General features: G+C 47.4%; 1 protein-coding gene across 9 annotated transcripts in view, besides 1 other annotated feature; it reads left to right on the top strand.

Moving 5' to 3' along the window:
* The window catches only part of KANK4 (KN motif and ankyrin repeat domains 4), an 83270-nt gene that overhangs the window by 47108 nt on the left and 10915 nt on the right, over nt 1–25247 (top strand). For 7 of the 9 annotated variants that reach the window (NM_001320269.2, NM_181712.5, XM_017000484.3 and 4 more), the window contains 6 exons: nt 738–849; nt 3822–4040; nt 5508–5595; nt 9016–9235; nt 19118–19260; nt 24655–24855. In NM_001320269.2, coding sequence (NP_001307198.1) covers nt 738–849; nt 3822–4040; nt 5508–5595; nt 9016–9235; nt 19118–19260; nt 24655–24855 — 983 coding nt within the window. The remainder of the gene's footprint in view (nt 1–737; nt 850–3821; nt 4041–5507; nt 5596–9015; nt 9236–19117; nt 19261–24654; nt 24856–25247) is intronic. The other 2 variants (XM_011540845.4, XM_017000483.3) reach the window with 2 other exon arrangements.
* Nucleotides 3751–4251: an enhancer, noted in NCBI's record as "H3K4me1 hESC enhancer chr1:62733748-62734248 (GRCh37/hg19 assembly coordinates)". NCBI's record gives its function as "activates a minimal SCP1, AML or CMV promoter by ChIP-STARR-seq in naive H9 embryonic stem cells {active_cell/tissue: H9 hESC(naive)}" and the evidence as "EXISTENCE:reporter gene assay evidence [ECO:0000049][PMID:30033119]".

Genomic DNA, 25247 nt, shown 5'->3' with positions numbered 1-25247 from the left:
TGTGTGTGTGTACAGGGGCAGGAGATTAAGTGCTGCTCACATATGGAAATGGGCCCTTCGGCTGAGCAGCACTTCCTGTTGTAACAGATCAAACCCTCTTCACTGTCGGGTAAAGTGGAACCACGTTTTGCTTTGCAGGGCAGCATGCGAGTCTGCTTCCTGCCACAAATCACAATTTGACTGCTTTCTCATTGTTTCAGTGCTAGTTCTAGCCTTCCCCGTTGGGAGCCGCCTCCTGTCCTGTTGAGCACATTGCAAGATCTGTGTCCTTGCTCGTGTATCTACTGTGAGCACGGTGTCATCACCACCCCCACAACCCTAGTGTCAGTATGCACTTGTGAGCCAGGAAGGACCACTGAGGTGCCCTTGAGCAGAAGTGGGTGCTAGACCATGAGTCCAGAGGCCTACGTTCTGCTCCTACACTCCCATTCACTGAGCAAGTCTGGGCCTCAGATTTCCCAGCTGTAAGACAGGGACAACAATGGCACCTACGCCACATGGTTCTTCATCCACACTTAGAGGGGCATTGTTAACAGAGACAGTTCTCCCAACATTGAGCAGAAAGCAAGGCTCCTCCAAGAGGTCCCCAAAACATTGATTTACATGATCTGGTTCCCTGTCCCTCCTTACCTCTCCACACACCTGCAACCCTTGTCCCCTCAAAGCAATATCCTGGTTTTGCTACATTCCCATGCATCCCCAAGATCATTCTAACCTGTGATGTTGTGTCTGCCTAGAGATCTCCCCATCGACCAGCCTTAAATCCATAATGAAAAAGAAAGACTATGGCTTCCGTGCAGGAGGTAATGGGACCAAAAAGAACCTTCAGTTTGTTGGGGTTAACGGTGGGTAAGCATCGCTTGTGAAGCTCAGACTGCCTTTCTTGCTACCTCTCCTGCTATTGTCCTTTGCACTCTCTTTTCCTAGGGGGAGGCATCTGGTTTTCATTCCTCTTCAAGGGAATTAATTTCAATGGCCCTTTAAAACTCCATCTCGGGTTTGCATGCGTTTGGCTTCTTGCCAGCTGTGGTGGTCTGTTGGAACCTCTGCTTTTAATATGTCTTGGCTTTGGTCTTCCCCAGGGCCAGGACTCCAGGTGGCTTCTGGGAGTTTTGGGGGTATACGGGCCCTTAGAGGAAGACATTTAACCTGAACCATAAAACTGAAACTAGTACAAATTCTGTTAATTCGTGGAACTTCAAATTTCATCCATTTAATTTTTTTCTTTCTTTAACTTCCTGCAAGCCAAACCCAAGTGTTTGGGGATGAAGAAAAACAACTAGACTATTGGCTTAGAACATGAACAAAACCTCATATATTCTATAGAATTGAATGTTTGATTTAGAATATTTTCTAAATCAGTCATTCAACAAACATTTATTAAATGCCAACAGTGTGCTCGGTCGTGGAGATTAAAAAGTCAAATAAATAAAGGTCTCTGCCTTTAGCTCACAGATAACAGAAATAAAGATGAAATGCTGATGTGCTGAGATAAGTTTTGTTAGGTGAGGAAGCACAGGATGCTGTGGAAGCCCAAACCCTGAAGGCTGCCCAGAGAGCTCAGAATCCCTGCTAATTTGAGTCACACCAGAAGGGAAGACATTAGACGCCAACAAGGGGAAACATCAGAAATGATGAACTGGGGCCAGTCGCTGTGGCTCATGCCTGTAATCCCAGCGCTTTGGGAGGCTCAGGTGGACAGATCACCTGAGGCCAGGATTTCAAGATCAGCCTGGCCAACATGGTGAAACCCCATCTCTACTAAAAATACAAAATTAGTTGGGTGTGGGGACATGCACCTGCAGTCCCAGCTACTCAGGAGGCTGAGGCAGGAGAATCGCTTGAATCCAGGAGGCAGAGGTTGCAGTGAGCCGCCGAGATTGTGCCACTGCATTCCATCCTGGGTGACAGAGCGAGACTCAGTCTTAAAAAAAAAAAAAGCAAAGCAAAGAAAAAAAATGATGAACTGGGTGTCACAGGAGGGTTGCTGTTCCCACTTCCACTAACATCTGACACGGGATCATGTGCTTTCACAGTTCATGTACAGAAAAGGAGAATCAGCCTAATCTCAAAGCCTAGTATAGGTCACGTCTCTCCCCAGCTGAAACGCCCCCAATGGTCCCCACTCTGCATCCAAATGTGGAAGAACCAAATCATGGCTCTGCCCAGCCTTAGCCCCTGCCACTGCCGTTCCTTCCCTCCCTCCAACAGGCTGAGGTCAGGCCCATCTCAGGGCCCTGGCACTTGCTGTTTCCCTGCTAAAGGCCTCCTCTCCTGGACATTCCTCAGCATTTGTTACTCCAGTACAGTGATTCTCAGCCTTGGTTGCACGCTGGAAACACCAGGGGAGCTTTTAAAACATCCCAGTGTCTGAATCCTTTCCCTGAACACTCTGGTTTAATTAGTCTTTGTGCAGTCCACATACTGGGAATTCTAAACACCCTCAAATGATTCTAATGTACCACTAAGGTTAGGAACTTCTGCTCTAATTAAAGTAGCCACTCCTCTTATCCTTCTATCCCATGGCTCTTTTTTTTTAAATTTTATTCATTGTTTTTATCACTACCTAAATATAATATTTGTTTACATGTTCATTTTCTGACTCTACCTTCTAGAATATAAGCTCCACTAGGGCAGGGACTTTGGTATAGGATTTAGAACTGCGCCTGGCATATAGTAGGTGCTCAATAAATTCCTGTTGAATGAATAAGTGAACTTCCAGGCAAAGTTTTTATGGAAGCAGTTCCAAGATGAGCACTGTTTGGTAAATGTAATATGCCCTCCACTCTCTTAATCACAAACATGAAAGGCTGTTCCATACATAATAGAGGAAGAAATGTCTGGGGTTTAAGTGAGACAGAATGCAAGCATAGCAGGGAGCAGACTCAGTTTACAAATCCATTGAGCACAGGGGCTTATGTAGAGGCCACCATTCAGAGAAGGGTCCTTAGGGGGTTCAATGGAGGCCATGGCCACCAGTCTCTGTGGCTGTGTCCAATGGCCCAAGAACCTGAAATCATCTTACCACCAGCATTCTCCATTAGGGATCTCCTGTTGAATATCAGTAGAGGAGTCAATAAATCTTCCAGGACTTTCCTCCATGGCCTCTGGTCTGCCAACTCAACAGAGTCACTTATAATTGAGCATAAGCGTCACTACCAGGAAAGAGGGCCACGAGTCAAGTGGCCTGTGCTCTCCTTTTTGCTGCTCCAAGCAATAGTTCAAACAGGCTGCAGCAAAGACAGGCAGGTGCTGTGCTGGGGTATCCCACAGAGCACTGGATGTAGGTGTGGAGGAGTTCATGCCTTGCCAAGTGCAAGCTGGGCTGGAGCAGTCTGAAGGGAGGTCTCGGTCTCATCCAGAGATGTGAAGATTTGCAGGCAACTTGGTGAATTCAGGGTGGAGGTGGGGATGTTTGGCTAGAGTTGGGCCCCTCTCCGGACCTAACGTTAGGATTGCACAAGCAAATGCTTTCATGAGAACGCTGGATGGCCTGTCTAGATCACCGAACGCATCAGCCAGTGAGGGGACAGGCTGCTCGTGGGTTTGCTGCAATGAGCACAGTTAATTATTTTGACAATAAGCACAGTTAATTGAGTCTCCCCAAATAGCCTCTCTGCACCAGAGCCAGGGCCCTTTACTGCATGTCTTTCTGACACCAAGATTCCTGGGAGCCTGTCACCCTGCCGGCAGGTGTAGAGAGTGGGGGAGGAGATTAGCAAGCTGCGGAGTGTTACCCGAGGCCCACCCAGCTCTCACTGGTGTTGACATGGGCACTGGGCAGGAAAGACAGGACGAGTGACCTTTGTTTTCTACCCCAGGTATGAGACCACCTCAAGTGAGGAGACCAGCGGTGAGGACAGCACCCCAGAGGACTTGTCTGACAGCGAGGCAGAGAAGAAGTGTGACGGCCCAGATCACAAGCATGTCAAAGATGCCCATCTCACCTGCGAGGCTGGGCAGGGCATCCCTGAGGGCACCTGCCATGCTGCCCAGGAAAGTGGGCCTGGGGAAGAAGTCCCCCACTCCAAGGCCGAGAGGTGAGCAAATGGACACAAACGCGGGCACTTGTTCCTCTGAAAAAGGTCAAGGGCATATATCTACCCGTTCATGCGATCATTTGTTCATTCATGTACCCATCCATTTGCCAGTGTTGTTTAAGTCTCTGTTTCATGCCCACACTGTGCACTGGTTGAATAAAGTAGATATATGGCTCCTGCTTTCGTGGAATGTACTGTCACAGCCGATATCTACCTGTAAAGTCAACATTTACCTAGTGCTGAAACTGTGAAGGACTTTACAAGTATTATCCTATATACACAACTTCCAACAGTCCTGCAGGACAGAAGTTATTGTGACCTCCCCACTCTACAGTTGTGGAAACAGAGACTTAGGGAAGTGTGGGGACGCAGCTAGCAGAATAGGGACCCTGGCCCCAGTCCTTCTCATTGTTACCCATAAGCTTTTCTGCCTGTCCTGTTGACCATGCTGGCTTTTAAAGTGATGTGTCTTTTTTTTTTTTTTTGAGACGGAGTCTTGCACTGTCACCCGGGCTGGAGTGAAGTGGCACGATCTCGGCTCACTGCAACCTCTGCCTCTTGGGTTCAAGTGAGTCTCCTGCCTCAGTCTCCTGAGTAGCTGGGACTACAGGTGCTCACCACCATCCTCAGCTATTTTTTTGTATTTTTTAGTAGAGACGAGGTTTCACTATGTTGGCCAGGCTGATCTTGAACACCTGACCTTGTGATCCACCCGCCTCAGCCTCCCAAAGTGCTGGGATTATAGGCATGAGCTACCGTGCCTGGCTGGTGATGTGTCTTTTAAAGTGATGGGAGCAGCCAGGCACCACAGCTTATAGCTGTAATCCCAGCAGTTTGGGAGGCTGAGATGGGAGGATCCCTTGAGGTTAGGAGTTTGAGCCCAGCAGTGCCCTTAAGCCTCACCTGAGGCCTCTTGGTGCTGAGCCTGCCTTCAGATCAACACAGGAAGAGTGCTTGTCACTGTGGACACCCAGCTTCAACGAGTCTCATATTACTGACTCTGTTAGTACTTACGGTGTCCTTCATGGAAGAATAACCTGAAGAAAGTTTCTGGTATGGATTGGATTCTTTGATTTTTTTTTCCAGTCACCCAGGCAGAAAATGTTTGGTTCAAAGTCAGAAAGACAGGCCTCCCCTTCCCAGCATGCCAGGAAATGCAGGTGGGCCTGTCCACCACCCCCTACCACGACCCCCCACCTAAATGCTTTGGTTATTGGCCCCAGCCCCTGACAAAAGCAGGATTAAATGGGCAACACACTCGGCTCATCTTCAGAAGCATTCAGAAGCCAAGTCACATCGGCACACACCATGGTCACTCCAGATTTTTGAAGCTCACCCTCTCCTAGGGCAGTTGCCCAGTTTGGATTTTTGAGCTGCTGAGATGTGAAAGAGGAGGAGAGTGAAAGTCTTGTTTATCAACTTGAAAATGATTATATAAATATGTGTATATATGTTTGTTTTATTTAGATATAAACCCTCAGAAGAATTTCTTAATGCATGCCGGGCACTGAGCCAGCATCTGCCAGAAACTGGGACCACCACAGACCAGCTCTTGGTACTCTAATTTTTCATTGTCATGTAAAGATTTCCCTTCTGTTTAAGACGTTAGCTCTGCCAGGGTGACTTTGGTCCCATTCAGTGGTGTGAGGCAGGCAGTGGTGTGAGTGTGCAGTGGTGTGAGTGTGCAGTTTACAGTGTGAGGCAGTAGTGTGGGTGTGCAGTGATGTGAATGGTGTGAGTGTGCAGTGTGAGGCAGTGGTGTGAGTGTGCAGTGGTGTGAGTGGTGTGTGTGTGAGGCAGTGGTGTGAATGTTCAGTGGTGTGAGCATGCAGTGTGAGGCAGTGGTGTGGGTGTGCATTGGTGTGAGCGTACGGTGCACAGTGTGAGGCAGTGGTGTGAGTGTACAGTGCACAGTGTGAAGCAGTGGTGTGTGTGCAGTGGTGTGAGTGGCGTGAGTGTGCAGTGCACAGTGTGAGGCAGTGGTGTGAGTGTGCAGGCCAGGGCCCATTTCCTCTGGGTGTTCTCTCCTTTACCCAAGCACTGCTGCCTGAAGTGATGGGTCACACTGAGGAAGTGGAGCCCATGGATATGCACAAGAAAGCAGGCCGGGGGCTCAGAGGCGCTTCCCATGTGTCATTAGGCAATGCACCATGAGTGTCTGTCATCAAACTCTGTGGCTTAGGCTCACGATGGCCCTGTGGTTTGAGAGGACTGTGGACAGAGTGTGAAAAGCATGTAGAATGGGAACTGAAGGTTCTATTCCCAGGACCCTCATCTGTGAGATATTAGGCAAGTCAGTTCGATGCTCAGGGCCTCTGTTTCTTCATCAATAAAATGAAGGTGGTGGATGGCATGTTTCCATTCCTCTCAAACCCTGACGTTTAATTCTGTAGTCATTACTGTTTTTCTTGAAGTGTACCTCTGGGTCAAGAGACTGAAAACAAGAAAATACGCATTGGCTCCTTCACACCTTCATGGCTTACAGAGATTTAAACACATAGTGATTCTACTTTTAATCAAGGGATATTGGCACAGACACATTTTCCCAAGTTATGAGAGCAGCTGTAAGACCCATGGTGGAACAACCCGTAAGCATTTTTAAAAGCCATTTTGCTCTCCTTTGCAAAAGAGCCCTAGAAGTAAAAACGATCAATTCATCAGCATTTATTTCTTACCCAACTCATTTTTGTTATTTTATCTTAGCTGATTTGACAAATAGTTGTTCCCTAAAGAACCAATATGTAGGGCCAGGGCCAGTGTCTCACGCCTGTAATCCCAGTACTTTGGGAGGCCAAGACAGGTGGATCACTTGAGCCCAGGAGTTTGAGACCAGCCTGGGCAATATGGCAAAACCCTGTCTCTACAAAAAAATACAAAAAATTAGCCTGGCATGGTGGCACACGCCTGTAGTCCCAGCTACTCAGAGGCTGAGGTGGGAGAATCGCCTGAGCCCCAGAGGTTGAGGCTGCAGTGAGCTGTGATTGCACCACTGCACTCCAGCCTTAGCACTAGAGTGAGATCCTGTCACAAAAACACAGAGAAAAAAAAAAAGAACCAATATGTGATGTGGATGTTGATCAAAACTCCTGTCACTTATTCTTAATTGAATTATCGAACTAAGGTCTTTCTTAGCTCTTCATTCAAAATCCACCACTCGACCGGTCGCAGTGGCTCACGCCTGTAATCCCAGCACTTTGGAAGGCCGAGATGGACGGATCACCTGAGGTCAGGAGTTCAAGACCAGGCTGGCCAACATGGCAAAACCCTGTCTCTACTAAAGTACGAAAATTAGCTGGGTGTGGTGGCCCGCGCCTATAATCCCAGCTACTTGGGAGGCTGAGGCAGGAGAATTGCTTGAACCCAGGAGGTGGAGGTTACAGCAAGCTGAGATCATACAACTGCACTCCAGCCTGGGCCACAGAGCGAGACTCTGTCTCAAAAGAAACCAACCAACCAAACAAACGGACAAAAACAAAAAACAAAATCCACCCCTCTGTTCCTTAATATTAGGATCTTTCTCCAGATTTTCTTGAAGATCCCATGGATAAAGGAGATACTCTGATTTATTAAAGTGTTTCAGCCACAAAAGATTCCACTGATTCTGCTCTAGAAAAGTGATCAGAGGATATGCAAGCCCGGCACCACACCCATGTTAGGATCAAAGCACCGGATACTGTCTCCCTTGCCCCCATCTTAGAGGAAGAAGCAGGTGTGTAAGGACCTCACTCTGTAGAGCCATGGAAGGTAAGGGGCCAGTCCCCTTTTACTCCTATTTTATAACAGGACAAGTAAGGATCAAAAAGGTTGTATGACTTCCAAGGTCCCACAGCTGAGTCAGTGATTTTATTTATTTATTTATTTTTATTTTTTAATTTGAGACGGAGTTTCGCTCTTGTTGCCCAGGCTGGAGTGCAATGGTGCACTCACACACAACCTCCACCTCCCGGGTTCAAGCGATTCTCCTGCCTCAGCCTCCTGAGTAGCTGGGATTACAGGCCTGAGCCACCTTGCCCGGCTAATTTTGTATTTTTAGTAGAGACAGGGTTTCTCCATGTTGGTCAAGCTGGTCTTGAACTCCCAACCTCAGGTGATATACCCGCCTCGGCCTCCCAAAGTGTTGGGATTACAGGCGAGAGCTGCCGCGCCCGGCCGAGCCAGGGATTAAACTGTGTCACATCGATTCAGTGACTCCCAAGTCTAGGACTCTTCCCAGCATGAGTATGCAATCATTTATCATAATCATTTCTCAATAGCTTCTCTTCCCCATTAGGTAAATACCCTTTAAACACTGAGCTCATGTCACACACAAGAGTTGATGTCATTGGCTCTGGAACTCTTCTCGTTCATGGTCCCAGAGGAGCTGAATGCTGCAGATAGCAGGGTCCTGCCGTGGGTTCTTAAACCATTTACTCTCAAGGTCCTTGGAAAGCTTAAAAGCCAAACATGTCAAGCACACCTGTTTGGGTTTTATTTCAAGCATAAATTGGAGATGTTGTTTGCCTTCGCATGCATGTTTCCCATTAGTAAGATGTTGCGATTTTCCAGCTATGCCTATTAAACACACGCAGGTGTCCTGATAGAGTCTGGGGAAAGGTCATTGTGGGCTGGCTGTGTGAGGGGGAAGGAGAGGGCCTTTGTAATTGTGCGCATACCAGGGGTTTGAGCTAAACTTCTTACTGGGGGGTGTGAGCTAAACTTCCCGCAGACTCAAACTTTTTCCAGTTAAGTGCCTTGTTACTGGTTACTAGGCTGTCCTCCCAGTCTTCCTTTCCACTCCCAGAGGGGGCTGATCGCACAAGTACAAAGTATGTTGCTGCATTCCTAACCCCACCAGCTCTGAGCCCTTCAGGAATAAATCACATGGCAAGCTGGAGGGAGCTGCAGGGACAGAGGCCAAAGCTGTCTTTCCTTGTGTAAGGGAGGAACTCTTGCTGGCCGGGGAACCTCTTGGAATTGGTCTTTTTTGGGGTTTCAGAGGCAAAGCTTGAACACCATCAGTCAAGAGTGGTTCCGCGTCTCCAGCCGGAAGTCGTCTAGCCCCGCCGTGGTGGCCTCCTACCTCCACGAGGTCCAGCCTCACTCCCCACACTTCCTGAAACTGCTTGTCAACTTGGCCGATCACAACGGGAACACGGCCCTTCACTACAGCGTGTCCCACTCCAACTTCTCCATCGTGAAGCTGCTGCTGGAGACAGGTCAGAAGTGGTTGCATTCATACAGTCTGGGTCCCTCCTTGAAGAGCAGGGCAATTTTTAAAATTTTTTTCAAAAATTTCAATAGCTTTAAAGGTACAAGTGGTTTTTGGTTACATGGATGAATTGCACAGTGGTGAAGTCTGGTCTTGTAGTATACCCATCACCCAAATAGCATACATGGTACCCAATAGGTAGCTTTTCCTCACTGCCTTCCACCCTCCCCTCTTCTGACTCTCTGGTATAATTGTCCATTATGCCACTCTGTATGTCTTCGTGTACCTGTGGCTTAGCTCCCATTTAAATGAGAACATGCAGTATTTGGTTTTCCGTTCTTGAGTTACTTCACTTAGAATAATGGCCTCCAGTTCCATCCAAGTTGCTGCAAAAGACATTGTTTTGTTCTTTTTTCTGGCTGAGTAGTATTCCGTGGAATGTATGTATGTGTGTCTGTGCATATACGTATATATAACATTTTATTATATGTATATGTGAGTATACGTTATATATTTATTTTTTATATATATAACATTTTCCTTATCCACTCATTGGTTGACAGGCATTTAGGTTGATTCCATGTCTTTGCAATTGTGAATTGTGCTGTGATAGCATATAAATGCAGGTGTCTTTTTGATGGAATGACTTGAAGGGCAATTCTTATACCACATTTCTTTCTGTCAAGGAAATGCTTCACTGTTGAAAGTTCCCTCTGTGTTCCAGGAACTGGACTAGACCACTTTGCCTGTGTTTGCCTCATTTGTTCTTCACAGCATTCCTGTGATGTGGGTATTGTTCTCATGTTGCAGCTAAGGAAACTGAGGCTCAAGAGTTATAAAACTTGCTCAAGTTACAGCGCTGGTCAAGGGTAGAGTCAGGTTTTGTACTCTGTCCACCTCCAGAGCTATATACCGTACTGCCTCTAGGGAAAATGGCATTTTCCCATCTTCAGAAGATACTTTTTAACAAAGGTCATGGCTCCATTTGACCAATTTGACTCAACTTGATTCATTCATCTTTCATTAGATATTTATTGACTACACATGAGGTCCATACTGGCTACTACCAGGGATGCAAAGGTGAGCTAGGTGAGCCCTCTGCTTCTTGGGAGCTCACAGCCTAGCAATTGGGATGGAGCTGGATGGTGGCTCATGAAAGAGAGATAGAGAATGCAATTTAGGAACTGAAATGAGAGCGTGTCTAGTTCAGGGAGCGGCAAAGGTGCACTGGAGCAGGTAGGGCTCCAGCAGGCAGACAGTCTTCCAGGCAGAAGGAACTCCATGGAGGTTAGACAGGGAAAAATGCCTGGAGACTAGAAAGCTTCTAGTTTGGATGGGATGGGAATTAAGGTTGGAAGGGTGAGTTGGAGCCACCACATAGAGAAATGGAAGACCTGGAGTGCCAGGCTGAACCCTGCTTGGAAGGTCCCAGGAAGTCAGTGCAGATTTTTTTGTAGGAAACTCCATAACCAGGGTAATTCTCTAAAAGAGTCATTTGACAGTAGGGGTGGGTTAGTGAAGGGAGCAGGAGAGGAGGTGGCAGGGCAGACAGGAGGCCATTGCAGAGGTCCACAGAGAGGTAGTGAGGGCTTGTAATAGGTGAGGATGGTAGGAACCAAACAGCAAAAAGCCATTGGGAGGTCAGGCATGGTGGCTCACGCCTGTAATCCCAGCACTTTGGGAGGCCGAAGCGGGTGGATCATTTGAGGTCAGAAGTTCAAGACCAGCCTGGCCAACATGGGGAAACCCTCTCTCTATTAAAAATACAAAAATTAGCTGGGTGGTAGTGACGCATGCCTGTAATCCTAGCTACTCAGGAGGCTGAAGCAGGAGAATAACTTGAGCATGGGGTGGGTGGGGGTTTCAGTGAGCTGAGATAGTGCCATTGCACTCCAGCCTGGGCAACAGAGAGAGACCCTGTCTCAAAAAAAAAAAAAAAAAAAAAAGCCATTGGGAGGGTAGTGCCGGACTGGTGAGGTGAGTTGGAGCTCTCTGTCAAGCCTGGATGGTTGAGAAGGCAGTGGGCTGCAAGAGGAGAAGGACCAAATGTGGAGGAAGCAGAAAGGATAATTCAGTTTGGGGCAGATTTTTAGTTTCCAGTGGATCATCTCTGCGGAAATGTGCAAAGGCTATTGAGAATTCCAGATGCAAAATGAAAGGGCAACAGAGCTTTGGGTGGGGCCAGCCAGAGCACATGCAATGAGGCCTTTAGGAGAGGAGTCCTCTTTTGCTCTTGGTTATCCTGTGCAGAGAGAGAGAGAGCACGTCAGTGGAGGAGACCCAGGCAGTCGTGTGATAACTAGAAGAAATAAGAGGATTGTGGCTGATGGGGAAGAACAGCCCATGAAAAACAAAGATTGTCAACTGTGTCAGATTCTGCAGGGTCCCTGAAGGATGATGCCTGGGTTTGGCAGATGGAGGGGACGGAGAGTGCCACTGGTGACTTTGGAGACAGCTGCTTTAGGGGCATGTTGGGAGGAAACCAGCTAGCAGAGTGGAAGGAGCAAAGCGACAGGCTTGGGGAAGGCAGCGATGGGGTGTCTTGGCTGAAGGAGGTGGGAGAGCCTTCGGAGAGTTGGTTTTGTGTGTTTGTTTGGGGAGAGGAGCTCTGAACATATTTTTTGACTGAGAAGAAGAATCCAAGAAAGAAGAGGAACAGATAAGGTGGGGGACAGAGACAGGGAATGAGAGACAGAGAGACAGACAAAGAGAGAGATGGAGAGGGAGAGAATGAGAGACAGACAGGCAGAAAAAGAGAGAGAGGGAGAGAAAAAGGAAGAGATAGAGACTGACAGAGAATCAGAGAGAGAGAAGGAGGAAGGTGAAAGATACAAAAGAGAGAAGCCACTTGGCAAAGCAAGGTCTGGGAGGAGCCGGGAAAGCCTGGACTCCACAGCGGAGGCAGGTGAGGGCAGCCGAAGCAAGACGCTGGGCTATTCATTTCTCTGAGATGGAAGCAAAAAAAGGAGAAAGTGGGTAACAGTGCAGAGAGATGTTGAGGAGAGCAGGGAGGTGGAGGCCACTGGCCTCAGATGGCCTCGATCTCCTCAGGAAAGTGAGAGTAGAATCAGGGTTACAGACTGGAAAGGGGTAGTTAACAGTCAATCAAAGACAGGTGCATGATGAGGCTGAGCGAAAGTGCATGGGCCTCGGTCAAATGTCATCTATGAGTTTAGGAAAGCTGTATGGGGCTGTCTAGCAGGGTACATACAAGAGGTTTAAAACCCCAAATGATCCCCACAGATGTGGCCTTCTGCTAAGTATTTAGCACCTGCTAAATATAATTTAAATTTATGATAAATTATATTTATAAATTATATTAATTATAAATTATATTGTCTTTATAATTATAATTTATATAATAATGAATATAATTATTTCATTTAATAATAAAAATTTATTATTAGAATAGGATGATTATCCCACTTTACAGACCATGAAAGTGACATTCAGAAAAGTCAGCAAACTTGCCCTAGATCACCCAATAACTAAGTGTGCTACCAGGGTTTAAAGTCAATACTGGTCCAGGCGCGGTGGCTCACGCCTATAATCCTGGCACTTTGGGAGGCTGAGGCGGGTGAACCGCTTAGGCTCAGAGGTTCAAGACCAGTCTGAGCAACATGGTGAAACCCCATCTCTACCAAAAATACGAAGATTAGCCAGGCGTGATGGCACACGCCTGTGGTCCCAGCTACTCAGGAGGCTGAGGTGGGAGGATCTCTTGAACCCAGGAAGTTGAGGCTGCAGTGAGCCGTGATCACACCACTGCACTGCAGTGTGAGTGACAGAGCGAGACCTGGACTCAAAAAAAAAAAGAAAGAAAGAAAAGTCGGTCCCATTCCTCTTTTCATTTCTGCCATCTAGGAGGTAGAGCATAACTCTTCTTTTAGGAGGCCTCAGGTGGGAATTTCAATGAACATCAAAAGTCTGAATTTAGGATCCAACGGCTTTCCCTAACTTGGGTCCTGTCTGGCTGAAATCCCTCCTGTGGCCTCCTATTGCTCTTAGCATGAGAGGCGGCTTCTTCAGCCTGGCCTTCAGGACCCCACCTGCCCTGGCTCCCACCTGCCTGGGCCGTCTCTGCTGCCACCACGCTCTCCTCCTTCCCTCCACTCCAGCCACGCTGGCCTCACTCACCAAGGTCATTCCCTCCTGGGATTTTTGTATTTGCCTTCTACCTGGACTCTTCCCCCTGAGGCTCTTCTTGTGACTGGCTCCTTCTCGTCATTCAAGTCACAGCCCCAATGTCACCTCCTCAAAAGTCTTCCTGGTGCCTCTGTCTAAAGTGGCTGCCCCTACCTCTCTCTAGGGGAGAACCCTCTTTCTTTCTTGAGACACTCTTTGCTTTTCATTTCTACCCAACAGAATGTTAATTCACTCAAAAGGGGCTCCTGTCTGTCTTATCTGTTTCCCTAACACCTAGACCAGTTCCTGGTTCCTAGTAGGTGTTGAGTGAAAACGTCTGTTAAATGAATGAGCGATGGATGACTCTCGGGAGCTAGGTTAAATTCCAGTAAACTTCCAAGTCTTCAAAATTCTGCTAAGCAGCTTTGAGTCTCTTCAGCTGAACGGGAAAGGCAACGTACATAATGACAGCCTGAAGTTGTTTCTGATTTTCACATCATCAAAAGAAGATTAAATTATAGCTAACAGTGAGCTGATGTTATTGATTTCAGTTCTTCATGGATGCATGGATACCATCGAAATGGTAGATCAATTGAGAAAGGCACATAATTAAATGGAGCATGGCTCTGTGTTCTGTTACTGTATTCAACGTTAGAAGCCATCAGTGTAGAATGTGAATAAAGCAGCTACTGCTTTTTCAATGTCATCCTCATCCCAGACACTGGGCTTAGTGTGATATACATATACACTGTCATGTACAATCCATGCAGGAATTGTGAAGCAGATCTTAATTGCCTTTTCCAGTGAGGAAACTGAGGCTCAGAGATGTCAGGTAATGCAGTGAAGGTCACAGAGCCTGTAAGAAGCTAATCCAGAATTCAAACCAAGATCGATCAGTCTCTTAATCTGGGCTTTTTCTACTACCCTATCTATGCTTCTGGGACACTGAGACTTTGGGAACATCCATTATGTGCATGAAGAATCCAAAGACTGGTAACATATGGCCCTTGTCTTTAGGTAGCTCACAGTCTTGTAGCCTGTTAGAAGTTTCTGGGTGGGCCAGGCCAGGACAGAGAAGAGACAACTAAAATTTGGGTGGTATAAATATCTGCTGATGCTAAGAATTCACTTAATACTCATCGACTTTAAAGTGGTTTGGGAACTTTTCCCTTTAACATAGTGAAATAGCTAAATAGCATAAAGGTAAAGTAAGAAGGGGGTTGGGGAGAATGGGTTGAGAGAGTCGTTACTTTCTCTCTTCTGTAGAAGGGATATTGAGGATGACAGATCTGTCACACTCTCAAACCTGGGGTGTCCTTAGAAGCAGTTGTTAAGCATCCAGAAAAAAAAATTACAAACTGTAAAGGGGTGTACAGAAGTGACTCATTATTGAGAATAGAGCCAGAGTGCACCTCTGCCGGCTCAACCCCAAGTGATCCGTCCTTTATTTTGCCAAATGCCCTTGCAGGGCTTATTGAGTCAGAGGATGCTCTGTCGAGAGCCTTGCTCCTCTGTCACCTCCAGGGAGAGTTGGCTTTGCTGCCTGATGGCTGCTCTGAAGTATCTTCTATAAAGTCCTGGGTCCTGGCAGGATGCAGTGGCTCACACCTGTAATCCTAGCACTTTGAGAAGCCAAGGCAGGTGGATCACCTGAGGTTAGGAGTTCAAGACCATCCTGGCCAACATGGCGAAACCCCATCTCTACTAAAAATACAAAAATGAGCCGGGCGTGGTGGCGCATGCCTGTAATCCCAGCTACTTGGGAGGCTGAGGCAGGAGAATCGCTTGAACCCAGGAGGCGGAGGTTACAGTGAGCCGAGATCACACCACTGCACTCCAACCTGGGCAATAGAGTGAGACTCCATCTCAAAAATAATAAGTAAATAAATAAAATCCTGGGTCCTTAGCCCCTCCTAGTCCCTTTCCTGAGCCCCTGAGCAGGTGTCAGACCTCATTCTACTGAGCTAAAAATCATGTTTCTAAAGAGATAAAAGAGAACTGATAAGCTGAGGCTCCTTTACACATCTTAAAAGCAAACAGAAAATAATCAAGGTGTAGAAATAAAGTTATTAATAAGGTAGTGCAAACGTTCACTTCCGTATCAGGACAGAGCTATGAGGTGATGTATGGAGTTGTTATTTAGCTTCCATCACCTGCCGGCTCATGGCAGTGGTCCAAGGAGCTTGAGGGAAAACTGCTGATAAATGAGACAGACTGATGCCTCTGTCTCCACTGACGGCCTGGTATTTTCATGGCACACTTCTGAAAAATTGTTTGAAAAATTATGGGGTAGCCAGGCGCGACGGCTCATGCCTGTAATCCCAGCACTTTGGGAGGCCGAGGTGCGCGGATCACCTGAGGTCGGGAGTTCGAGACCAACCTGACCAACATGGAGAAACCCCATCTCTGCTAAAACTACAAAAATTAGTGGGGCGTGATGGCTCATGCCTGTAATCCCAGCTATTCAGGCTGAGGCAGGAAAATTGCTTAAACCTGGGAGGCGGAGATCGCAGTGAGCTGAGATAGCAGCATTGCACTCCAGCCTGGGCAACAAGAGTGAAACTCCATCTAGAAAAAAAAAAAAAGAAAGGAAAATTGTGGGGTGGAGGGAATATCAAACAAATGTTGCTTTTTTCCACTTGCACAGAACTTGCAAATAGCACTAATTGACATTTTTTTCATAAACCATATTTTTACAATGAATACCTAAACCTTATGAGAATATCATTCTGGACAATAATAGTAATAACAGTGAACTCTTACCGAGTGTTTACTGTGTACTAGGCATGATTCTAAGTCAGGGGTATCCAATCTTTGGCTTCCCTGGGCCACATTGGAAGAAGAAGAATTGTCTTGGGCCACACATAAAATACACTAACACTAATGATAGCCGATGAGCTAAAAATAATGCTTTAAGAAACTTTATGAATTTGTGTTGGGCCACATTCAAAGCTGTCCTGGGCCATAAGTGGCCCCATGGCCCATGGGTTGGACAAGCTTGTTCTAAGTGCTTTAAATATATTAGGCTGGGCATAGTGACTCGGGCCTGTAATCTTAGCATTTTGGGAGGCCAAAGTGGATGGATGGCTTGAGCTCAAGAGTTCGAGACCAGTCTGGGCAACATAGTGAAACCCTGTTTCTATAAAAAACACAAAGAATTAGCTGAGCATGGTGACATGCACCTGTAGTCCCAGCTACTCAGGAGGCTGAGGTGGGAGGATCACTTGAGCCCAGGAGGCAGAGCTTATAGTGAGTGCCACTGCACTCACCCTCAGCCTGGGCAACAGAGCCAAACCCTGTCTCAATAAATAAATAAATAAATAAACTCAATAAATTTCACCTATAAGGTAGGTTGTGTTGTTATCCCCATTTTATAGAGAAGGAAATGCTAAGAAAGGCTAAGTGACTTGATTAAGTGTAATTGTTTTTCTGTTGCCCAAAGGAGCTACATAAGGAAGGATTGCTTGAACCCAGGAGGTTTAGGCTGCAGTAAGCCATGATCTCACCACTGCACACCAGCCTGGGCAACAGAGCAAGACCCTATCAAAAAAACAAACAAATAAAAAGAGCAACATAATTTTTTCAGATAAGTAACAGTACAAAGACGTTTGATTTTCCCATCACCCTTGAGAGGTGGGGTCATTTACTTAACAGTTATCGGTCTATGCCTGATGATCCCCTACCTCTCCTTAGGTGGGGAGGAATATGGATACATATCCCCAGGGCTACAAAGCAGAACTTTCTTTAAAGTTCTCATTTACTACTTAGTCTTAAAAATATGTCAGGTTTGGCTAGGCACCGTGGCTCATGCCTGTAATCCCAGCACTTTGGGAGGCTGAGGTGGGTGGATCATGAGGTCAGGAGTTTGAGACCAGCCTGACCAACATGGTGAAACCCGGTCTCTACTAAAAAATACAAAAATTAGCCGGGCATGGTGGCGTGCACCTGTAATCCCAGCTACTCAGGAGGCTGAGGCAGGAGAATCACTTGAACCCAGGAGATGGAGGTTGCAGTGAACCAAGATCGCGCCACTGCACTCCAGCCTGGTGACAGAGCGAGACTCCGTCTCAAAAAAAAAAAAAAAAAAAAAAAATACCAGGTTTAATCAGGCACAGTGGCTCATGCCTGTAATAATCCCAACACTTTGGGAGGCCGAGGTGGGCAGATTGCTTGAGGTCAGGAGTTCGAGACCAGCCTGACCAACATGGTGAAATCCCATCTCTACTAAAAATACATTAAAAAAAAATAAAAAATCAGCTGAGCGTGGTGATGCACGCCTGTAGTCCTAGCTACTCAGGAGGCTGAGGCAGGAGAATCACTTGAACCCAGGAGGCGGAGGTTGCAGTGAGCCGAGATCATGCAACTGTACTCCAGCCTGGGCGACAGAGAGACTGTCTGAAAAAAAAAACAAAAAAAAAAATGCCAGGTTTTTGGCTGGGTACAGTGGCTCACACCTGTAATCCCAGCACTTTCGGAGGCCGAGGCAGGTGGATCATTTGAGATCAGGAGTTCGAGACCAGACTGGCCAATACAGTGAAACTCTGTCTCTACTAAAAATACAAAAATTAGCCAGGCATGGTGGCGGGCACCTACAGGCTACTCGAGAGGCTGAGGCAGGAGGATCACTTGAACCCGGGAGGCAGAAGTTGCAGTGAGCTGAGATTGCACCACTGCACTCCAGCCTGGGTGACAGAGTGAGACCTTGTCTCAAGAAAAATAAACAAATAAACAAATAATGCTAGGTTTCCATTGTATTGTGAAATGTAATTCTTAATTGTTTTAATATAAAAATTGTGGAGTTTTTTTTCCCTCCATTTTTCAAGTGAGATGGTTGTTCTTAGAAGATTTCCCACGTTTATCCCATGGTGTTGTTCACCCTCCTGGTACTTGGCACAGTAGACCCCTAGGCCCTTGGAAAGGACCTACAAACACAGCCATTAGTTTGTTACACACAAACGTGAGCTAGTGAGTGTGAAACCCAAAATGCACAGCCGTGGGTGGCATTCCAGGCATATGGGCAGGTGAGGGATGAGCACCAGAGCCGGACAGACCTGAGTGTTCCTGACCCACTTCACCTTCACATGAGTGGACAATGTAACTTCTCTGGCCCTCAGTGTCCTCATCTGTAAAATGGGAATAACATCTTGTGCTCCAGTTTAGGAGATGAAGTCAAGGCCACTGGCCCTTTGGCCATCTCTGGCTTTGTTGTGGGCCTCCCTTGCTGGGTATCCTCAGAAAACTTGTCAAGAAAAGTAACCAGCTGGCTGGGCGCGGTGGCTCATGCCTGTAATCTCAGCACTTTGCGAAGCCAAGGAGGGTGGATCACGAAGTCAGGAGTTCGGGACCAGCCTGACCAACATGGTGAAACCCCGTCTCTACTAAAAATACAAAAAAAAATTAGCCAGGTGTGGTGGCGCACGCCTGTAATCCTGGCTACTCAGGAGGCTGAGGCAGCAGAATTGCTTGAACCTGGGAGGTGGAGGTTGCAGTGAGACGGGATTGAGTCACTGCACTCCAGCCTGGGTGACAGAGCAAGACTCTGTCTCAAAAAAAAAAAAAAAAAAGAAAGAAAGAAAAAAAAGAAAAGAAAAGAAACCATCTTTAAAGGCTGCTACAAATGTAAACCACTGGCTCCAGCTGTGGAAAGCATTGCTCTAGTCCATGGCTTTCTAACCAGCGAGCAGTGTCCCATTGAAACGGCTAAAGTGGAGTCTGGCTCCTGGCCCCTCAGGAGCCTTTGCAGCACCCATTGCTTCTCTTGCAGGCGTCTGCAATGTGGACCATCAGAACAAAGCTGGCTACACTGCCGTAATGATCACTCCCTTGGCTTCCGCAGAGACCAATGAAGACATGGCTGTTGTCTGGAAGCTCTTAAGAGAAGGAAATGTGAACATTCAAGCTACTCAGGTGGGTGGAATGAACAGGATCTCCTCTTCAGTAAATGCAGGGGCACCTCCCGCTTTATTCTGCTAGTGGGGTGAGAAATTCCATGCAGATCCATGTAGTTTTTAACCCAAGGAGGCTGGGACCTCCAAATGGCATCAGGCAAAGCCTGAATATTCAGTTTTCCTTATAGGCTCCCGAGACCCAGCCAGGAGCTTGCACAGCTTGCACAGAGGTCAGTGAGCTTCTAATATAAGTCCCAGTCTGAAACTGAGCAAATTCCATCTGGATGCAACCTCTAGAACCAACATTCCCAGTTGCCATCTTGAGAAGGCATTTGCTAGTTGGCTGCTCTAAGAAAGCCCTCACAGGTGACCCACCTTGATCTTGGCCCACAGGCACCTAACTAGGCTCTTTGGAGGTCCAGTCCTTTAAAGAAGTTCTCACCTCTGTCACCCCAAAGCCTTTTAACAAGGTCATGAGTCCTCAGACTGAGGGAAAGTGTGGATAGCCAGGGCAGACAGAAGCACTGGCTGATCATTCCTAGGGGTGTGAGGATTCCCACTTTCCAGGCCTCAGCTTAGCTCAGAGGCTTATTATAGAGTTCTGCAGGTCATTATCAATCAACCTGGCATGCTGCCTCAGCCCTTGAAATAACCAGATCCCAAAACACTCCTATCTGCCTTACCTCTGCACCAACAATTGTGAGTGGTATTATTCCAGACACACAAATCATGCCCCAGTCCCCAGGAGCAGTGCTATGGGCCAGGCTGGGAGCAGCAGTTGCTGCGAAGACCCAGTAGGGCCCTACACAAATGTAATAGCCAGAGATTCAGGACACGTGGGCTCCACTAATTCACTGGGTCACTTGTGCCTTAGGTCAGAAGAGCCCTTAAATGTCACCTAGGTCTACCCCTTATTATTTTGCAAAATCCTACCAGGTGGTCTCCTGCTTCTTTGCTTGGTCTCCAGCTCCAGGACCTCCAGTGTCAGGAAACTCATGCACTACCAAAGTAGCCCATTTGTTACTCTAGACACCTCTGATAACTTTTTAAACTGAGCCAAGACTGGGTACTCTGAATCTTTTTTTTTTTTTTTTGAAACGGAGTCTCACTCTGTCACCCAGACTGGAGTGCAATGGCTTGATCTCGGCTCACCGCAACCTCCACCTCCTGGGTTCAAGCGATTCTTCCGCCTCAGCCTCCCAAGTAGCTGGGACTACAGGCACCCGCCATCATGCCCAGCTAATTTTTGTATTTTTTAGAGATGGGGTTTCACTATGTTGGCCAGACTGGTGTTGAACTCCTGACCTCAGGTGATCCACCCGCCTCGGGCTTTCAAAGTGCTGAGATTACAGGCGTGAGCCACCGCGCCCGGCCTCTGAATCTTTCCTGCAGTGATTAAGTACAAGTTGATTGGGGTTCACTCCAAAAAGGATCTTAAGACAGCAAAGGCAGCACAGAGGGTTGGAATGTCTCTATTCATCTTCTGGGGCCCTCTGCTTGAGAACACAGGGTGGGGGTGTGGTCCTTACCCAGAAGGGCTTTGAGTTAGACAAGGCTCCACATGGAACAACGGGGACTCCTCAAAAGGTCATTTGCCCATTTTTTGAACCTACAGGAATGAATGGAGTATGTTTAACTCTCCTTTCCCCTGGAGTGATCATAGATGATAAGGTAACTGTTGAGAACTGTGAAGAGTCTGGGCTTTTACCCCACGTTAAAGCTAACAAGGTAGCCTGCTACAGTTTTGTGGATGCTGGCAGAAGACATGAGACTTCTGTGCCCGAGACAAAGGACTGTGTATTACCCACAGCCGAAGCAGTAGCCACAGTATCAGCATTGCCCAAATCCCAGCTCCCACAGGGCAGTGTGAGGAGGGCCACAAAGCTAAGCATGGAGTGGGCTGCGTTGCAGGACAGGACACCTGAGTGTAGGGAACCTGAAGCTTTGATAAGGGACAGTAAGCCTGCCTGCCCTTTTCTCCAAAGAAGACAATATCTCCAGCTTCCAAGGCTGTTCACTATATAAACAGCCTTAAAAAGATAGTCTAGAGCAAAAGGGCAGATTGTGGTGTGCTTTACTCACAAGATGTGCAAAAAAGCAAGAGACTTATGGAAAATGGACTCCTAACAATATATTAAGCACCACTGTCCTACACTCCCCCAGAGAGATTGCAGATAGTAACCTAACCCGATGGCAAAGTCACCGTTGCATACTTCATCTGATAGCAACCCTAGTGACGGCCAGAAGCCGATGTTTATAGATTACTTTCTGGTTTTCAAGGTATTCTAGTCACCTACAACTCCTGTCCCTTAAGACTCAATACAGCTAATGTTTCATTTTAACTAATGTTTCCCATAAATACGTTAATTATTTTCTAAATTGTCCCTCTTGTAAGAGGGGTTGCTTGCAAGAGGATCAAAATCAACCCCTTCTTTGTACAGAGAAGAAACTGATGCTGTAGGAGGGCAAGGGACTCATTCCGGGTCACCAAAGGAGGGGTGAGAATGCATAGCTGCAGCCATTCCCTTTAGCTCCCCCTGGGCCTTCACATGTGAAGAGAGCAGAGGTACCAGGTTAAATGGGAATACACTGGGAGTGTATTCCTAGGAAAAAGCTGCTTCTCTCTGGATCTCCAGGGCAATGCAGCAGCATATAGTAGCTCTCTATAAATGCTCATTGAATTAAATTATATTGAAAGGGACCGGGAGGACAATGAGGAAGGAAGGGGCCCTGCATCAGGCAGAGGGGCAGATGTGAGGACCATCTGCATATGTCATCTGGCTTTAATAACAGCTGGGGGCTGGGCACGGTGGCTCACGCCTATGATCCCAGCACTTTGGGAGGCCGAGGCGGGCTGATCACTTGAGGTCGGGAGTTTGAGGCCAGCCTGGCCAACATGGTGAAACCCTATCTCTACTAAAAATACAAAAAATAGCCGGGTGTGGTGATGCACGCCTGTATTCCCAGCTACTTGGGAGGCTGAGGGGCAGGAGAATCGCTTGAACCCAGGAGGCGGAGATTGCAGTGAGCCAAGATCACGCCACTGCACTCCAGCCTGGGTGACAGAGCGAGACTCCATCTCAAAAAAAAGAAAAGAAAAGAAATATACACACAGTCAGGCACGGTGGCTCATGCCTGTAATCTCAGCACTTTGAGAGGCCAAGGTGGGTGGACTGCTCAGGATCAGCCTGGGCAACATCGCAAAACCCCATCACTACAAAAAATACAAAAATTGACCAGATGTGCTGGGTGCGGTGGCTCATGCCTGTAATCCCAGCACTTTGGGAGGCCGAGGTAGGCAGATCACCTGAGGTCAGGAGTTCAAGACCAGCCTGACCAACATGGTGAAACCCCGTCTCTACTAAACATACAAAAATTAGCCTGGCGTAATGGTGGGCGCCCGTAATCCCAGCTACTCGGGAGGCTGAGGCAGGAGAATGGCTTGAACCCGTGAGGCAGAGGTTGCAGTGAGCCGAGATTGCACCATTGCACTCCAGCCTGGGCAACAGAGCAAGACTCCATCTCAAAAAAAAAAAAAAATTGGCCAGATGTAGTGGCACATGCCTATGGTCACAGCTACTCAGGAGACTGAGGTAGGAGGATCACTTGAGCCCAGGAGGCAGAGGTTGCAGTGAGTCGCGATCATGCCACTGCACTCCAGCCTGGGTAATAGAGCGAGATTCTGTCTCAAAAAAAAAAAATACATGTATATATATATATACACACACGCACACACACAAACATGCACACATATAGTGTATATAACAAAATTAAGAAAATCTATGGGAAATGATGGTCAATTTGTAATCAGAAAAATTATTACTGTACATCATTATATTTACATACTTTATCTCACTTGATTCCCACAAAAGCCCTGCGAGGTACACAGGACAAATCATTGTTATATTAATTTTTTTTTTTTGAGACAGATTTTGCTCTGTTGACCAGGCTGGAGTGCAGTAGTGCAATCTCAGCTCACTGCAACCTCTGCCTCCCGGGTTCAAGTGATTCTCCTGCCTCAGCCTCCCGAATAGCAGGCGCCCGCCACCATACCTAGCTAATTTTTGTATTTTTTTTTTTTTTTTAGTAGAGACAGAGTTTCACCATGTTGGCCAGGCTGGTCTTGAACTCCTGACCTCAGGTGATCTGCCCGCCTTGGCCTCCCAAAGTGCAGGGATTACAGGCGTGAGCCACTGCACCCGGCCCCAATTGTTACATTAATTTTTAAGAGAAGGAAAACAAGCTGGGCACAGTGGCTCACACCTGTAATCCCAGCACATTGGGAGGCCAAGGCAGGCGGATCACCTGAGGTCAGGAGTTCAAGACCAGCCTGGTCAACATGGGGAAAGCCTGTCTCTAATAAAAACACAAAAATTAGCTGGGCATGGTGGCAGCTGCCTGTAATCCCAGCTACTTGGGCGGCTGAGGCAGGAGAATGACTTGAACCTGGAGGCGGAGGTTGCAGTGAACTGAGATCGTGCCATTGCACTCCAGCCTCGGCGACAAGAGTGAGACTTTGTCTCACAAAAAAAAAAAAACAAAAAAACTAACCAGGTATATTGAGTGGCACGTGCCCATGAGCTCAGCTACTTGGGAGGCTAAGGTGGGAGAATCACTTGATCCCAGAAGACTGATGCTGCAGTGAGCTGTGATTGTGCCACTGCACTCCAGCCTGGGTAACACAGCAAGACCCCATCTTCAAAAAAAAGAAAAGAAAAACCAAGAATCAAGGAAGACAGTGATGTGGCCTGAATCATGCATTAGGAAACAGTAGAACTAGAGCTTGCTTTCTGATTCCGGCTCATTGCTACGTCCACCTATGATTACAGAGATGCCCAAGATTACTGTCAATGTCTATAGATTAGAAATGACCACAGGACATGCAACCAGAGATCGTGTTGAGAGAAGAGGGTTCTGGGTATCCTTAAACTGAAAATTTCAGAGGCATTGAGCAGAGAAGGCTTCCTGGGGAAAGTCAGGCTGGGGCAGGCAGTAAGAAGCCATGATGCTCAAGCATTCAACCTTCATCTGTTCCGTCATTCGACATTTATCAGCACGTTCTTGGTGCTAGACACTGGGGAGACAGGGACAAAAACACTTAGTCCCTGCCGTCAACAATGTCACAATCCGTGAGAAAGAGAAGTTGACAAGTTGCAATACTAAGTGGTGAGTGCTGTGTTAGGATTCCCGTGCCTGGGGAGTGAGAGAAGGCTTTAGAGAGGATGTAGCATTTGACTAGTCTTAAAAGAGTAGAATTTTGCCAAGCAGAGAAGGTTATGTCCCATATCAAGGGCAGGAGATTCAAATCAGTGGTTGTGGTATTGAGAAGTCTCTGATGAGCACACCCAGGCTGGAGAGGGGGTCCTTCCCCACTGGCAGCAACCTCACCACATCCCTGTGGCTCTGCATGCAGGGAGGCCAGACTGCGCTGATGCTGGGAGTCAGCCACGACAGGGAGGACATGGTTCAAGCGCTGCTTAGCTGCCAGGCAGATGTCAATCTGCAGGACCACGATGGATCCTCGGCCCTCATGGTGGCCTGTCACCATGGCAACGTGGACCTGGTGCGGCTGCTCCTGGCACACCCAGCCTGCGACAGCAGCCTGACTGACAAGGTGAGACTTACAGGCAATTAACAAGTAGCTGTTGCTGGGCAGGGTGGCTCATACCTGTAACCCCAGCACTTTGGGAGGCTGAGGCGGGAGGATCACTTGAGCCCAGGAGTTCGAGACCAGCCTAGGCAACATAGGGAGACCCCCATCTCTTAAAAAAAAAAAAAAAAGTAGCTGTTTAACTTCCCCTCCTCAGAGTGCCTTGCCGGCCAGCAGAATTCAAGGAATCCTATGGCAATGCAACAAAATCAGCTTCCTAAGGCTGTTGTGGGATTTAAATAAGAGGCTCAGCACAGTGGCTCACGTCTGTAATCCCAACACTTTCAGAGGCCAAGGCAGGAGGATTGCTTGAGGCCAAGAGTTCAAGACCAGCCTGGGCAACACAGTGAGACCCT

The sequence above is a fragment of the Homo sapiens genome, chromosome 1 (genome assembly GCF_000001405.40).
Source record: "Homo sapiens chromosome 1, GRCh38.p14 Primary Assembly".
In the NCBI taxonomy this organism is placed as follows: Eukaryota; Metazoa; Chordata; class Mammalia; order Primates; family Hominidae; genus Homo; species Homo sapiens.
Note: the sequence above shows the minus strand (reverse complement) of the source record. Positions and strands in the feature narration are given on the sequence as shown.